This window comes from Homo sapiens, chromosome 2 (assembly GCF_000001405.40).
Source record: "Homo sapiens chromosome 2, GRCh38.p14 Primary Assembly".
Taxonomy (NCBI): domain Eukaryota; kingdom Metazoa; phylum Chordata; class Mammalia; order Primates; family Hominidae; genus Homo; species Homo sapiens.
Window position 1 is genome coordinate 213,612,118 of NC_000002.12, and position 16,718 is coordinate 213,628,835.

The following is a 16,718-nucleotide window of genomic DNA, read 5'->3' on the forward strand; positions in this document are numbered from 1 at the left end:
CAAAAATAGAATGAGGGCTTGAAGTCATTGGCGAATATTTCCATATGAAATGTTATGTCTCTTATCTTTAGTTTAGATATGGATATTTATGTTTAATTTTTTTTGAATTAGCAAACATGTAGTAAAACTAACAGGTGTTCAAATAACATTCAGAGGGGAAATGTCACTATTAATATGTTTTACACATAAAATACAAATATCTACATGTTTAAGTGCCCTAGGATAAGTTATTATAATTTTTCTTTTTTCTCTCTCAGAATTATATCTTCTTTAAATTATTGATTTCCAAATATTTCTCTTGAGCCAAGACACCACGCTGAATTCCACCTGCCTACTTTGTGTCATCACTTAGATATCTAATAGATATTTTAAACTTAACATGTGCAGATATAACCTTCTGAACCTGTTTCTTTTTTGCCTCAGTAAATGACAACTCCATTTTCCCAGTTAACTTGGTTCAAAAATCATAAAATCAACCACCAATTGATCACAACCTGTTACAGATTTCTTTGTTCCTTCTTCGCGCTCACTGCTCCACTTGACTAGCCTTGAAAAATAAAAATTAAAATAATTTTTTTTGAGACGCAGTTTCGCTCTTGTTGCCCAGGCTGGATGGAGTGCCAAGGCCCCGTTTCAGCTCACTGCAACCTCTGCCTCCCAGGTTCAAGCGATTCTCCTGCCTTAGCCTCCCGAGTAGCTGGGATTACAGGTGCCTGCCACCACGCCTGGCTAATTTTTGTATTTTTAGTAGAGATGTGTTGGTCAGGCTGGTCTCGAACTCCTGACCTCCGGCAATCCGCTCGCCTTGACCTCCCAAAGTGCTGGGATTACAGGCGTGAACCACCGTGCCCGGCCCGAATAATTTTTTAAAATGATGGAATCATTATTGGATTTTATTTTTCTCCAATACCAAATATTCTAATATTTAGGGAAACCTATTGGGTTTCTTCAGAGTGTATGCAGTATCTGACCACTTCTCACCATTTTCATTTTTAACCACTTATAGTCCAAGCTATTATTCCATATCACCTAGATTATTACAGTGATCTCCAAACTGGTTTGCCTGCTTATCCCTGTGTTCCCCTTCACCCCCAGCCAAATCTATTCTCAATACAAAAGCCAGAGTAATTCTATTAAAATATATGGAGATCATTGTACTCCTTGGCTCACAAAACTCATTGGCTCTTTATTTAACTTAAAATAAAAGCTGAAGTCCTTCTAATTACCAACAAGACCTTACATGACTTGGAGCCCTGTTGCTCTCTGACCTTATCTCCTAATGCTCTGCCTCCTTGCTCACTCCACCCCTTACTGGTTTCCTTGACTTGATTTTAATAGACTAGGTAATTCCATTCTCAGGGCCTTTGCACTTGCCATTCCTGCCACCTGGAATAATCTTCCCTCAAATATCTATAGGCATTTTTTCCTCACCTGCTTAAGTTCTTGTTCATATGTTAGTTTCTTAGTGAGCTCTTTCCTATCTAAATATTGTAAACATCTCTGACACCTCCTATCTACATTTTGTGCTTTTTTCTCCTTAGCACATATTTTTTAGTTAGGTTTATTGTTCTCTGCCTCTTCTCTAGAATGCATTTTTTTCTGTGAAGGCAGAACTTTTTTCTTTTTCTTTTCATTACTGTAGCTCCAGTTCTTGATGCATAATAGATGCTAAGCAGTATCTTGTGAATGCATGGATGGTTCTTCCTATTCCTCTCCCTATAGGAATAAAAAATTTGGAAGTAGGCGAGAGAACACTGCTTAGTGAATATAAACTAAGAATGGAAGTACTTATCTCAAAGGTTTCAAATAGAAACTGATGTTATGATGAATCATTCTTTCAATCTCTTTGTCACACAGTGTGGTCAGGGAGCAAGAGCTCCTCTAGGTTTGGGAACAGGATAGCAATCCACTCTAAAATCCCATCCTCCTGTTGTGTTGGGAGAACATTTTGAATTGAGGGTATGGTAAAATACTGTTTCCCAAACAACTTACTCATTGAAACATTGTTGGCTGGGGTGTGTGTATGTAAGGGAGAGTAGAACATTCTGGAATTATATGAAACTAAGTCTGTTTTGCTAAAACAAAATGAAAGTTCTCAGCATTCACTAGGATTTTTAACGTCCTGCAAGTGATTGATTAAGCTTTTCCAACAACTGATTTTTGTAACAAATTTCATTTAAAGGGATACAAATGGCATAATAAGATACATGATATATCTTTTTATTTTCCTGTATTACTTTGTATCTCTCAGTGCTACCCAGAAGACAGTCACTGATGGTAATCAACAGGCTTCTGTCACTCTGAGAGATAGAAAGAGTGGATGCAATTTACTTTAAATTCTTTTTAAACCAACCCTTGATGCCTGGCTTATTGCAGATACCTGGCCCTTTTGGCTATCAGTCCTTCAGAGGCATCAGAGAATAAATACCCATCACAACAGCTCCTGGTGTTGTCCTGGGATAGTGGATGCCGCTTTCTTGAAAACTGGGTATTCCATCTGTTGATAAGGTTGACCACAAATGTTAGCAATAGTCCCACATAGGTCATTATAATATTTGTATCTTAAGTGTGATTAATCTTCTTCTTTCAGTTTATCTGTGAAACTCTCTTATGCTTTTATAAGATATTAATGGGACATTAGTATAATCTTAAATTAAGATTGGTTAATACTGCACTGTTGGTACATAATTTATGCTTTTAGCAAAGATGGCTTGTGATGTAAATATTGCTTAAAAACATCAATACAGGACTTCCTGGAAGTTCCATAACATTTTACCCAATGATGGGGTAGAGGTTAAAAGGAGTAATCAATGATTTCTTTGATTTTTCTCACTGCTGAGGACTATCCTAAGTGCTTTATATACATTTACATTAATTCTTAAAACAATCTCTCAAGATTGGTATTATTAGAACCACTTTATTGATAACTAATCTGAGAGTCTCAGAGTGGTTAAGTTGATTTACCCAAGGTCAAGTTGACAGACGGTTAATCTGCAAATACTTACTGAACATATACTATGGGTACAGTTATTCTACTGAGATGATACAGACAACAAACAGAGTTGCAATCCTCATGTCTTGCCAGATGATAAAAACCCACCTACAGGAGTACCAAAATTGTTATTATGAATTAATAATGTATTCGTATTCTTGAGATTTTGCTCATTGTAGCTGTCATTTAAAACAAACTTTAGGCTGGGTACGGTGGCTCACGCCTGTAATCCCAGCACTGGGAGGCTGAGGCGGGCAGATCACCTGAGGCCAGGAATTCGAGACCAGCCTGGCCAAGATGGTGAGACCCTGTCTCTACTAAAAATGCAAAAATTACCTGGGTGGGATGGCATGCACCTGAAATCCCAGCTACTCGGGAGGCTGAGGCAGGAAAATCGCTTGAACCTGAGAGGCGGAGGTTGCAGCGAGCTGAGATCATGCCACTGCACTCCAGCATAGGCGACAAAGCAAGACTATCTAAAAAAATGAACAAACAAAAACAATTAAAAAAAACCCAAAAAACTTTATTTTGCAAGTGTAGACATGACAATGTATTAACTTAAATTAACCTGATAACTTTAGCCAAATGTTTATTGTGTTGTGTTATTTAACGTTAGATAATATTAGTTTGTTTTGTGTAAATAGCTGCAATTACACATTAAACAAGAATGCAGGACCAGCCTATAACTGTAGCTAATAGCATATATATATTATGTTATAGGGTTTACAAAATGATTGTTACTTTTTGCAGTATCACAATAATCCTATGAAATTAGTCCATTTTGGGGGTGGGGGCAAGGGGAGGGATAGCATTAGGACAAATACCTAATGTATGCGAGGCTTAAAACATAGATGATGGGTTGATGGGTACAGCAAACCACCATGGCACATGTATACCTACGTAACAAACCTGCATGTTCTGCACATGTATCCCAGAACTTAAAGTATGATAATAATAACAAAAGAAATTAATCCATTTTACCGATTAGGAAACTGGAGATCAACTTGGTTAACAAATGCTCAAAGCCATGTACCATTAAGTGGAAGAGGGGGATTCAAACCCAAGCCCTCTGTGCCATTTTTCTAGCTCTTTTCAAGATAACAATGGAAGATGTGAACTCACTTTCTGATGTTCTATGATTGAAAAGAAACATGCTTCCACAAATTGTTCTAATTTTACTGCATAATTGAGCAGATTATACTATAAATTAATGTGTTGGCACAGTTAACTATTTCTTGTTTACTTTTCTTTCCCTAAGGAGTCTGCTACTCTGCAGGAGGCCTTTTAAACAGAAACATCCCATTAACTTTCTTAACACAGAGGCGAGAAAACAAACAACAACAAGCATAGCTACAATCGCTGTTATTAGGCACCCTGAAAAGATGTAACCCTGAGCATTGGATAGCAGTAAATCATAGAAGGGGGGTGTCAGGATGGGGAAGCCAGAAAGTCTAGCTTACTTTTTCTCAAAATATGATCTGCTTTAGAATCCTGAGGGAGTTGATTAAACATGCAGATTCCTGATCTCTGGCCCAAACTACTGAATCTCAGTCTAACGGCAGAGTTCCTAATGGGCCTGTTTTCATAAAGATTCCTGGATGATGGTTTTTGTTTTTCACTCTTGTACATTAAATATTAGGACTTTGAGAATCTAGTTCATTCTGAGTCATATGCTTCAGTTAAGGTACTCTGTCTGCATAGGGTACTCTGGCTAATTTAAACAAACAGGAATTTACTAAGAGCACCCAAAAGTTACTGAGACAAGAAGCAGTATTGGGAATAGGAAGGAATGGAGTTACCTTGGGGTCTAGGAAGCAAGAACCACAACATGAAAAATCTGTTCAGGCTATTGTAGCTCAGTCTGGATGGATGCTCGCCGTTTGTAGTGTCTTTGTTTGCATGCACAGGTCATGTGTTGGTCCCGTGTGTAATGGGTAGGTGGGCCCCTGCAGATGAAACTGGATTGAATAGGGAAAAGATAAGTCCAAAAAGGAAAGGGAAAGAAGGGAAATTAATACTGAGTAGTCCAAACATAGCTTTTCTACAGTACAAAATAATCTAGTTTCACTATTGATTGAAGCTAATTGCTATTCCTAAGTACCCTCCTAATAAGACCTAGTCTGGAAGGGCCCTTCACTCATAAAAACAATGAGGCATTTAAATGCTGATGATGGGCCTGGCACCATAGCTTATGTCTGTAATCTCAGCACTTTGGGAGGCCGAAGTGGAGAAGTGGAAGGATCCCTTGAGGCCAGGAGTTTGACACTTGTTCCCTAGGCTAATATGCAATGGCCTGGTCTCAGCTCACTGCAACCTCTGCCTCCTGGGTTAAAGCGATTTTTCTGCCTCAGCCTCCCGACTGGCTGGGATTACAGGCGCCCACCACCATGTTCAGCTAGTTTTTGTATTTTTAGTAGAGGCCAGGTTTCACCATGTTGGTCAGGCTGGTGTTGAACTCCTGACCTCAGGCAATCTGCCCACCTTGGCCTACAAAGTGCTGAGATTACAGGCGTGAGCCACTATGCCCGGCCCAAAATAATTTTTTTTTTAAAAATGAGCAAGGCATAGTGGCATGTGCCTGTAGTCCTAGCTACTGGGGAGGCTGAGTCAGGAGGATCCCATGGGCCTAGGAGTTTGAGGCTGCAGTGAGCCATGATCAGGCCACTGCACTCCAGGCAGGATGACAGTGCAAGATACTATCTCAAAAAAATAAAATGAATAAGTAAATGCCTCTTATGAACCCTATTGACATCAAGTAGGAATGAGCACTAGAGCTTTAAGAGGCCTCAGCTCAGCCTATCCAGCCCTTTGGTGGTGCTGTGTGTCTACAAAACTTTCCTTTGTACACAGCTACTTTTTCCCCTACACTCACCTCAAAAGGGCTTGTCAAGGTTGAGGTTGTAGCCCCTAGTTATTGAATTGTTTAATTCAATAACTTGTTTTGTGAAAACGTAGCAGAGATAAATAACTTTTTCTATGTAATAGAACCCACTTAGGATAGTTAGCTGATTAAAGTTTATCATATAACTATAGTGTCCATACCATTAGGTTTCCATTGTCTGCCCTTGGCCTTAACATTTCCTCAACATAGAACACTCCTCCAAATCATATTTCTGACTCTTTCTCAGCATTTGTATTTCCGCTCAAATGGCATTTTCTCAAAGGGAAATCTTTATGAACTTCCTCACAATGCCCCTGCCTTCTACTCTATCCTCACTGCCTGATCACTCCCTAGTCTATTATGATATTTTTCCTTCATAGCAGTCATTATCTGATTAATAAGCATTTTTACTTGTTTAAGATTAGTCTCTTTATGCTGCCTCCCAACATACAAACAGTCCCCCCAAACTGTAAAGTATCTGCTTTCCTCAACAGGTTATGAATAAGATTGCCATTTATTTAAAGTAGGACTTGAATAGATATTTGTTACTTAAATCCAAAGCTATCATAATGCCAATCTCTTTAACAGGGGCACAGAAGGCCCTTCCTTTCCATTCTATCTTTAAACACATTATCATTTATCCTATGCCTTAAACAGAATCGTGTTTATAGTTTGCTGAATATGCTATATGCTCTTTCATTTTTCATGAGGATTTCTGTTTTTTTTTTTTCTTTGCATGCACAGAATTTAAAAAAAATTTAAAAAAAGGAAAAGTCACAAGGTGGATTAGGTTGCTAGACCTTAAAACACTCCATGATTTCTTTGTCTTAGTCATTTCCTTTTTTTAATTGCTAAATTTTCTTTCCAGATTCCCTGCTTTTCTTTTAGTAAGAGTTTAACTGTACCTTATACAAATCAGTAATTATTCTCTTAATAACTAGTTATACTACAGGGTTAGATAGTTGGCTCATTCATTAACAAAGTTAAACATTTTATTTTAAAACAAGTTTTATTTTGTAAATATAACCATTTAGCAATAACTTAAATTTAAGTTTAAGCCATAAATGGAAAAATTACTACAACGGTAAAGCAACATGTAAGTCAGTCTCAAGAGTGTTTAAATTTTATGCAATGATTAGGAAGGATGATAGGTATCAGATCTGAAACTTTATAAACTGTGGACCCTTCCCTCTCAGCCTATACAAAAATCAACTCAAAATGGATTAAACACTTAAATATAGGATCTGAAACTGTGGAACTACTAGAGGAAAGCATAGGGGAAATGGTTCAGGACAGTCAACAAAACCAAAAATAGACAATGAGGTTACATAAAACTGAAAAGCTTCTGCACAGCAAAGGAAACAATAAGCAAGGTGAATAGACAGCCTGTAGAATAAGAGAGAATATTTGCAAATTATTCATCTGAAAAGGGGCTAATATCCAGACTATATAAGGAATTCAAACAAGTCAACAGCAAAACAACCCCCAAATTATTCAACTAAAAAACGGGCAAAGCGTATGAATAGACATTCCTCAAAAGAAGATATTCAGATAACCAATAATATAAAATGATCAACATCACTAATCATCCAGAAAATGCAAATCAAAACCACAGTGAGATATCATCTCACTCCAGTTAGAATAGCTAATATAAAAAAAGACAAAAAATAATAAATACTAGAAAAGATGTGGAGAAGAGGCAACTCTTGTACAAGGTTGATGAAAATGTAAATTAGTGCAGTTATTATGGAAGTCAGTATGGAACTTCCTCAAAAAACTAACAATAAAACTCCCATATGATCCAGCAATCCTACCACTGGATATTTATCCAAAGGAAAGGAAGTCGGTATATTTAACAGGCATCTGCACCCCCATGTTTATTGCAGCACTATTCACAGTAGCCAAGATATGGAATCAACCTAAATGTCCATCAACGGATGAATGGATAAATAAAATGTGGTACATATACACAATGGAGTACTATCCAGACATAAAAAAGAATGGAATTCTGACATTTAAGGCAACAAGGATGAACCGGAAGACATTATGCTAAGTAAAGTAAGGCACAGAAAGATAAAATACCACATGTTCTCACTCAGGTGGGAGCTAAAAAAAAAGTGAGCTCTTAGAAGAATAAAGTAGAATTATGGTTATTAGAGGCTGAGAAGTTTAGGGAAGAGGGAAAGAAAAAAAGGTTGGTCCATGGGTACAAAATTATAGCTTGATAGGAGGAATAAGTTCTAGTGTTCACAGCATTGCAGAGTAAATGTAGTTAACAATAATTTATTGAGTTTTTTTTTTTTTTTTTTTTTTTTTTTTTGAGACGGAGTCTCACTCTGTCACCCAGGCTGGAGTGCAGTGGCACGATCTCCGCTCACTGCAAGCTCTGCCTCCCAAGTTCACGCCATTCTCCTGCCTCAGACTCCTGAGTAGCTGGGACTACAGGCACCCGCCACCACGCCCGGCTAATTTTTTGTATTTTTAGTAGAGATAGGGTTTCACCGTGTTAGCCAGGATGGTCTCGATCTCTTGACCTCGTGATCCACCTGTCTCAGCCTCCTAAAGTGCTGGGATTACAGGCATGAGCCACTGCGCCTGGCTGTATTGTGTATTTTCAAAAAGCTAGAAGAGATGATTTTGAATGTTCCCAACATAAAGGTTTGATAAATGTTTGAGGTTATGGATATGCTAATTACTCTGATTTGATCATTACACATTGTATATATATACTGAAATATCACTCTGTAACCATAAATACATACAATGATTCTATATAAAGATAAAATGAAAAGTAATGTTTATGCTTTTATTGTCAAATGTAATTATATATATTTAATTTTTGCTTATGATAAGACTATTAGAGTCTGCAGATAAATTTAAGTGCTTAAGAAATTGAAACACATCAGAGTTTTACATTGAAATGTGTGGATCTTTCTTCAAGAGTCTCAAGCTCATGCTTAACTGGACAATTGAAAAATATCACTCTTTACTGATTTATATCAAGTTTTATTTGTACTAAAAACTAGTTTTAGTACTTACCTTTAATTTTCTAGTACTAAAACTAAAAACTAGTTTTAGTACTTACCTTTAATTTTCTAAGGAAAGCTAGTAAGATGCTTTGGCTAACTTTATTGAAGAATAACTTGGTATGAAATTATGATTTGTGATAGAAAAAAGAACTTAGATTTTATTATTTATTTTCAAAAATCAAATTAATGAAATATTTAGATTGATCTTTTTTGTTAGTCAATAAATTCTGACTGTGGTTGATCATGGTTTTCCAGGGCAGACACTATATTAATTTTAGTGTCATTTGAAAGAAAAATATGTTACAACTGAGAATATACTCATGAAAAGATAAGTAACAATTTAAACAATACACATCACAAATAAAGCAGAACCTATTTTTTGGAAAGACTTGCTGTATTATTAAAAGAGGCTACTATTGGTTTGATTAGTGTGACAAACTTCATGATGGAGTGGGAATTTTTAATGGTCATGGAAAATTATTTAATTTCAGGAGGCGAAATATTGATGGATGAGACATTCAACAAAGGGTTGATAGAGGGAGATAGGAAAGGAAATAGAAATGTACCTGGAGACAGATATTGTCAATATGACCAGGGAGAATTAATTGTGTATGGAACAGTGAGATACATTTGAAAATGTGGTATAGGATAGATTATACAGAATTCTGAGGAGTTTAATACTGCATTTGTATCCATTAGCAATGGTGAGCTGTTTAAAAGAAGTTTTTGAATCTTTAGAATATTTATTTGAAAGGTTTGATATATTTGTTTTCCAAGTGTGATCTAAAGATAGATCACATAATAAAATTGTCTAGAGAGTTGCTAAAAATGCATCAAGCTCCCAAACCCTAACCTTCTGATGTAGTATGTTTGGGTGGGAACCAGGACTACATTTTTTAGCAAGATCTCTTATTATTTATCACTTCACAATAAGTCTTAGAACCATTGGAGGAGGAACTATAGCCTGTGGAGCTCCCTTCTCTAAGGTTGCTGGAGCCCAGTCTCTCATGCCTCTCTCAGCTTATTTTCAAATATAAACCATCTCAAACATTGTGACTCAACAATACACCTGAACAATTAAAGATGAGTGCATTTTTTTTCCTATGCTAAACCTCAAATGAGTGAAATGGACCACCCAATAGTCCCATAGCTAGCTTTTTAAAATTTTTATTTTATAAACATAGAAATTGACTCTTACGGTCTTAAAGTTTCAAAGTTATATTTGTTTTATCTGAGTTCCTTCCTGAGGAAAGGACCTTCAGGCCTCTCAAAAAACGTGTCAAAGAACTGAAACTCATCAGATCACCATGTCCAGACAATGAAATACTGAACCCCCTCATTCATCATGATTACTTTCTTGCCGCTCCCTAGTTCCTGTTTTCTTACACATTGTTTCATTTCTTTCCTGCTGTATAAACTCCTAGTTTTAGTGTGTCAAGGAGATGGATTTGAGAATGAGCTCCCATGGCCTCTGCTGCAGCACCCAATTAAAACCTCCTTCCTTGACAATACTCATTGTCTTAGTGGTTGGCTTTCTGTGCGGTGAGCAGCAGGACCTAGACCAAACCCTTGGTGTTTCAGTAACATGATCAGAAATTGTGATTTGCTTCCAACCTGTGTTCAAAGCCAAGGCTCTCAGAGAACATCATTGGTCACCTTTATTAGACTGTCACCATATTAAGTAGGACTCTTCTGATTGCATGATATAAAATCCAGAGACTATGCAAACTTAGCAATATATTTTATAGAAGAATAACTTTTTGGTAGAAAAAATTAGGAGTGCCACTTGGGCCTTGTTTTGTTTTGTGTGTGTGTCTGTGTATTTTTAAAGTATAAGTCTAAAGTGACATTCAGAAGAGAAATGTAACTCTATACCTTTCATTATTGATGCATCGATTTGAATAATTTGTGTAAGTTCTTGGGTTAGGCACACATGGAGTGTGTGTGAAGAGTAACGAAGCCTTCCATTTGTTCTTCACAAATTTTTAAATGTGTCTCCTTTATTCTTTCCATTTTGAAAAATTAAATCATTCTCACGCCTCCATTTGCTAGGTGTAGATATTCATATTTGGAAATCTTTGTATCCTCTGATTGATGGGTATAAGTCTGTCATGGAGGTTGCCATGTAAAGCTAAATGCAGAATTTGTTTTCTCTATGAATTGATTGCTCATGTAAAATCACTTTTTACTGCTGCTGGTATTTAACACATAAATCTATCATTTACTTTTTTTTTAAGTGAAGGAGCTACTGGTTTATCATGTGTAGGAAACTTTTTTTCACTATGTCATCACTAAATCGAAGGTAAAATTATGTTTTTTTCCTGAACTATGAATTCTATGCTTTCCTTGAAATAGATAAAATAGATAAACAAGTAAGGTATTAGAGGAGTCTGGAAAATATTCATTAGTATCCACCTTTAGGTTTACCTGAAGTAGTCAGGATTTTCTTTTTAGTATTCCATTTTTATATGAAGTACCATTTTATATCAACTTCTTTTGTTCCATTGTCAGAATCTAAAGAAATATTATCTTTCTACCTGGCATTTAAACTGGTTCTCTATTTTTAATGGATGATGTGCATTGATTTGAAATACCTTGATAAATAATTATTTAAATGGATGAAGAGACAAATTGTTCCAGTAATAAATATTTAACCTAGGAGTAGGTTAGGCACTTTAAAAAGCTGTAGTAATACATGCAAGGCATTTTGGTTAATATTCAAAAACTGACCTCTGAAAATAATAAAAAATGTGTTAATTATAATCCAAGACATACCAGAGTAAACACCAATGAATCCTCCTTTATTTTACCTTGTCTCTCAATATTCTAATTCTGTAACAATAAATATACTCTTAAAGGTGAATTTTAGACATTATCAATTTATCTATTAGAAAATTATATGATGCTAATTCCATCATGATACATATTTAACAATGTAATAAATTAATTAAGTTAAACACAATTTATTAGATTAATTACATGGGGCTTAATTAGTAATTAAATAAACTACACTATAACATATTTACACCAATTTATGGAAAATGCTTTTCTCTTTATCTTTATTTTTTAATTCCTGACAACCTGGTAGAAGTTAAACTACAGAAAAAACATCTGCATTCTAGATTTTGATTATTAGTATTCTAAATTACAAATGCTTGTACTTGAACAAATTATATTATGGTAATTTTTTTCCTTTAAAGGGAGAATATCAATGGTTGAAGATCAGGCTATTTATCATCATCTTTGAAAAAGCAAAGTAACAATACAGCCCATTTAGGAGACACATTAATCTCCCATGTGACTCCAGAAGCAAACAGAATTTTAAAAAGCATCTTCAGAAATTATTTGGAATATACTTCTGTTCTCTAAGAATATATCTCTAACTTTCTTTTAACAATTTAAGACATAAAGGCAACACTAGATACTGATGCTTCAGGAAGTGTCACAGTAGAAAAGTTTTAACAGAGTTTATAGCCCTGGGGCCTTGGAAGGAAAAGCTAAAAACTATAAGTAGGGTAGTAGTGAATTACAATGATAAAAACTAAATGTCTTCCTTTTGCACATTAAGTTATGTTAAAACACTGACTGGTAAGTTACAGAGCTGCGGTTTGAACCTACATTTGTCTGAACCAAGTTTCCACACTTTTGACCACAATACCTTGATGCAGTGATTAAGAAGGTATTTTGTTGAAGCAGATAATAGGAATTCATACACTTCCTCTGTACTTGCTGAATGCATGATCTTGGACAAGATACTTAAGGCCTTTGTCTCAGGTTTTTGTTTTTTTTGAGATGGAGTCTTGATCTGTTGCCCAGGCTGGAGTGCAATGGCGTGATCTCAGCTCACTGCAACCTCTGCCTCCCAAGTTCAAGCGATTCTACTGCCTCAGCCTCTCAAGTAGCTGGGATTACAGGCACCTGCCACCATGCCCAGCTAATTTTTGTATTTTTAGTAGAGGCGGGGTTTCACCATGTTGGCCAGTCTGGTCTCAAACTCCTGACCCCTCAGGTCATCTGCTTACCTCGGCCTCCCAAAGTGCTGGAATTTCAGGCTTGAGCCACCACACCCGGCCTCAGTTTTTTAATTCTAAATGGAGTGATAATACTATAAAAGTACTTACTTCATGTATTAGTCCGTTCTCACAAAGCTATAAAGACATACCTGAGATTGGGTAATTGACAAAGAAAAGATGTTTAATCAGCTCACAGTTCTGTGAGCTATACAGGCTTCTGCTTCTGAAGAGGCCTCAGGAAACTTACAATCATGGCAGAAGGGGAAGGGGAAGTAAGCACATCTTCACATGAGAGCAAAGTGGGAGGTGCTACAATGGATACCCCATTCTCCATGATATGCTTGTTTCACATTGCATGCCTGTATCAAAACACCTCGTGTACCCCCCGTAAATATATATACCGACTATGTACCCACAACAATTTAAAAAAATAAAATAAAATGACTTCTCCCCATCTGTAGATTATCTTTAATTTCTTTAAGGTTTATTTTACAGGTCAAATTCCAACATAACCATATTTATCAATCTTCTATTTTATACTTAGTTTTTTTATGTCTTATTTAAGAAATCCTACCTTTCCCAAGACTTTCACCTTTAATATTTGACTAAAAGTCTTTTTGTTGTTGTTACTGTTCTTTTTTTTGTTTGTTTTTGTTTTTGTTTTTGTTTTAGACAGAGTCTTGCTCTGTTGCCCAGGCTGGAGTGCAGTGGCACAATCTGGGCTCACTGCAACCTCCACCTCCTAGGTGAGTTCGAGTGATTCTCCTGCCTCAGCCTCCGGAGTAGCTGGAATTACAGGCGCCCACCACCACACCCAGCTAATTTTTTTGTATTTTCAATAGAGACGGGGTTTCATCAGGTGAGCCAGGCTGGTCTCAAACTCCTGACCTCAGGTTATCCACCCGCCTCGGTCTCCCAAAGTGCTGAGATTACAGGCATGAGCCACCACACCCGGCCTCTACTAAAAATCTTAAGTTTTGTTATTGACATTTCATTCCTAGGATCTTCTGGAGTTTGTCCTTTTATATGGAGTGAGAAGAGGTCAAATTTCATATTTTGTTGTTATCATTGTTCATATGGAACATTTTGTGAGTCTCTGTGAGGCAGAAGTTCCATACAAAAAAGTGTGTTTGGAAGTAAAAAGAAAAATCAGAAACCAGAAGATTCTGAAAATGAAAGATTATCATGATAAGGAATCATATTAGCAGTCCAGCATATTAAATGGAAGGAATGTCTGAAAGCACCAAGCAAAGATAACAAGAGATGGACATCAAGGAAAAGATATGAGTTCCAAGAGTTAAACCATGAAAAACAAAACTGTAAATACCCGGATTTTTAGGGGAAAAAAATAGCTGCAGTAAAGGCAGTAATGAAACAATAAAGAAAATTTCATTTGCTTAAAAAAATGGAGTCTCAACACTGAAAGATTCAGCAATGAAAGTATAATAATGAAAAATATATATAACATTAGTTTAACAGTTGAACTCAACATCTGTTTACAAATTTAAATTTAGACAGTCTTGCTCTAGAATCACTGCTGTGTGAATCTGTATGATTTGACAATTACAAGTTTGCATGACACACTAGATATTATTACTATCGGGCTCAATTTTTTTTTTTTTTTTTTTTTTTTTGAAGATGGAGTCTCTTTGTTGCCCAGGCTGGAGTGCAGTCATGTCATCTTGGCTCTGTGCAACCTCCGCCTCCTGAGTTCAAGCAATTCTGCTGCCTCAGCCTCCTGAGTAGCTGTGACTACAGGTGCATGCCACCACACCTGGCTACTTTTTGTAATTTTAATAGAGACGGTGTTTCACCATGTTGGCCAGGCTGGTCTCGAACTCCTGACCTCAGGTGATCCTCCCACCTTGGCTTCCCAAAGTGCTGGTATTACAGGCATGAGACACTGAGCCCACCCTGAATTTTTTCTTTTTAGACCAAAGTACTATAGACAAAAGCACACAAAAGTCACACTGATCTCTGTATTCCAACTCCTATCTTTGGCATTTCCTATGAAGTTACAGCGAGACTATTTTACTCAGCAAACTATGTACCATGCACCATCTGTGGATGGCAGTGGGGAAAAAGATAACACAGGAACTCATAATTTAATACAGTGTCAGTACAGTATTATGAGACAAGATAGGATAGAAGCGGGATCCTCACTATTGAAGAGTCTGCAAGTGCTATAAGATCCTGCATGGCAGAGAGCGTTCCTCACGTGGTTAGGGAGAGAATTACAGTGGAGCAAAAGAGGCAATAAATTACAATCAGCCTATGTGACTCAGTGTCTTCAAAGTTAATAATTGCTAAGAATCTGAAATCTAAAACAAATACTGATTATTATTAAACTACAGTGTAACACATACTTTCTTCTTGGCTATCAGGTCTTTCTTCTTTCAATACCTGGAGGAAAAATACTCACCATTTAAGCCACTTGCGGAAAGCCCCTTTTTGCTTTCTAAAATTTGCTTCACAAAATGTATCATTTTCTCCTTCCTGTATTCAAAGCAGTTTTAGTCCTATTTTAGCAATTTCAATGTGCATTATTTTAGTTGTCTGTCTCCTTTACCACACTATGAACTCCTGAAGCATGATGTCAATATATTTCTTGTGTCTAAAAAGAAAAGGAACTCAACAATTGACTGTTGAAAGAATGAGAATGAATAAATTGACAAATAAATGAATGAACTGAATGATCAGCTTGAGAACTCAAACATACAAACCAAAACAGTATGCCAATGGGTATTCATATTTTAAATAACTTAAGCCTCAAAAATTGCATCTCTTGTGTTTACATTGAAGTCAAGGTCTTTGGTCCAGCTATCATACCACAAAATAGCGTGAGTGCTTCGCAGCATCACTGTTACTATTCTTTCCTCCAGTTCTCCAATCCCATCATCCAAAGTAGTATTTCTCTTTCTTTCAATATAGAAATGTCACTATTGAAAACCTATCACATGTTTTATTCTATTCAAAGAGAAAGTAAGACATGAGCCTTAGCATTGCCTCACCCATATTCTCATGCCCTGCATTGTTAAAGAAGCCACTCAGCAGAGCTGTGCTCTTTTAACACTAGCTTGAAATTTCATCTCTCAGTGTTGTCACAGCCAAATTTTTACAAATTTGTGAATATCCAGTTAGAGTTCAATTGTGAGATCAACCTTTCTCAGCAACTAGATTTCCAGCCTTTTCTTATGAGGTCAGGAAATTCTTGAGTGTTTTCCAAGATGCACATGTTTCCAGTTTCACAAATAGTACCAAGACCTAAATGAAGCTCCTGATTCCTCCCAGGAGTCTAGTAAAGCACAAAGCAAATTCTATCCATTTATGGCCCTTCTGTGCACTAAAATTACAGCTGGTCCTTTGCAATTTTTATGTAGAGGGAATTTAGTCTCTTTATTATCTTTGTACTTGAAATTATGAAGAGTCTTATTCAAAGCACCGTACAGTTTCAACCAAAGAACAGGTATGTGCCAGATTTAAAAATTTGGACAAGAAATTATTAAGTGACTAATGTCTGATCATAGAACATTGCACAATGGACCCGTTTATTTTACATATCATCACAACTTGGATTCGCACAACTTGTGTTTTGCTTGTAACTTCTATTTCTTGACTTGATTGCTTTGAAAAGTTTGCATTCTTTAACTAGCCTTAATTATTTGTGTGTATGTGACATCACTTTTCTCTAAATGGTCAAAGTTACTTTGAATTTTGTTAATATCCACTTTTAAATCAATGCCAATTGTCAAAATATTAAATATATAATTTATCTCACCAATAAGGAAACTGAAATTACCTAA

The 16,718-nt window shown here is 36.3% G+C and overlaps 1 protein-coding gene across 18 annotated transcripts in view; it reads left to right on the forward strand.

Moving 5' to 3' along the window:
- Positions 1-16,718, forward strand: part of SPAG16 (sperm associated antigen 16) — a 1,126,038-nt gene that overhangs the window by 327,654 nt on the left and 781,666 nt on the right. The gene's annotated exons all lie outside the window — the stretch shown is intronic.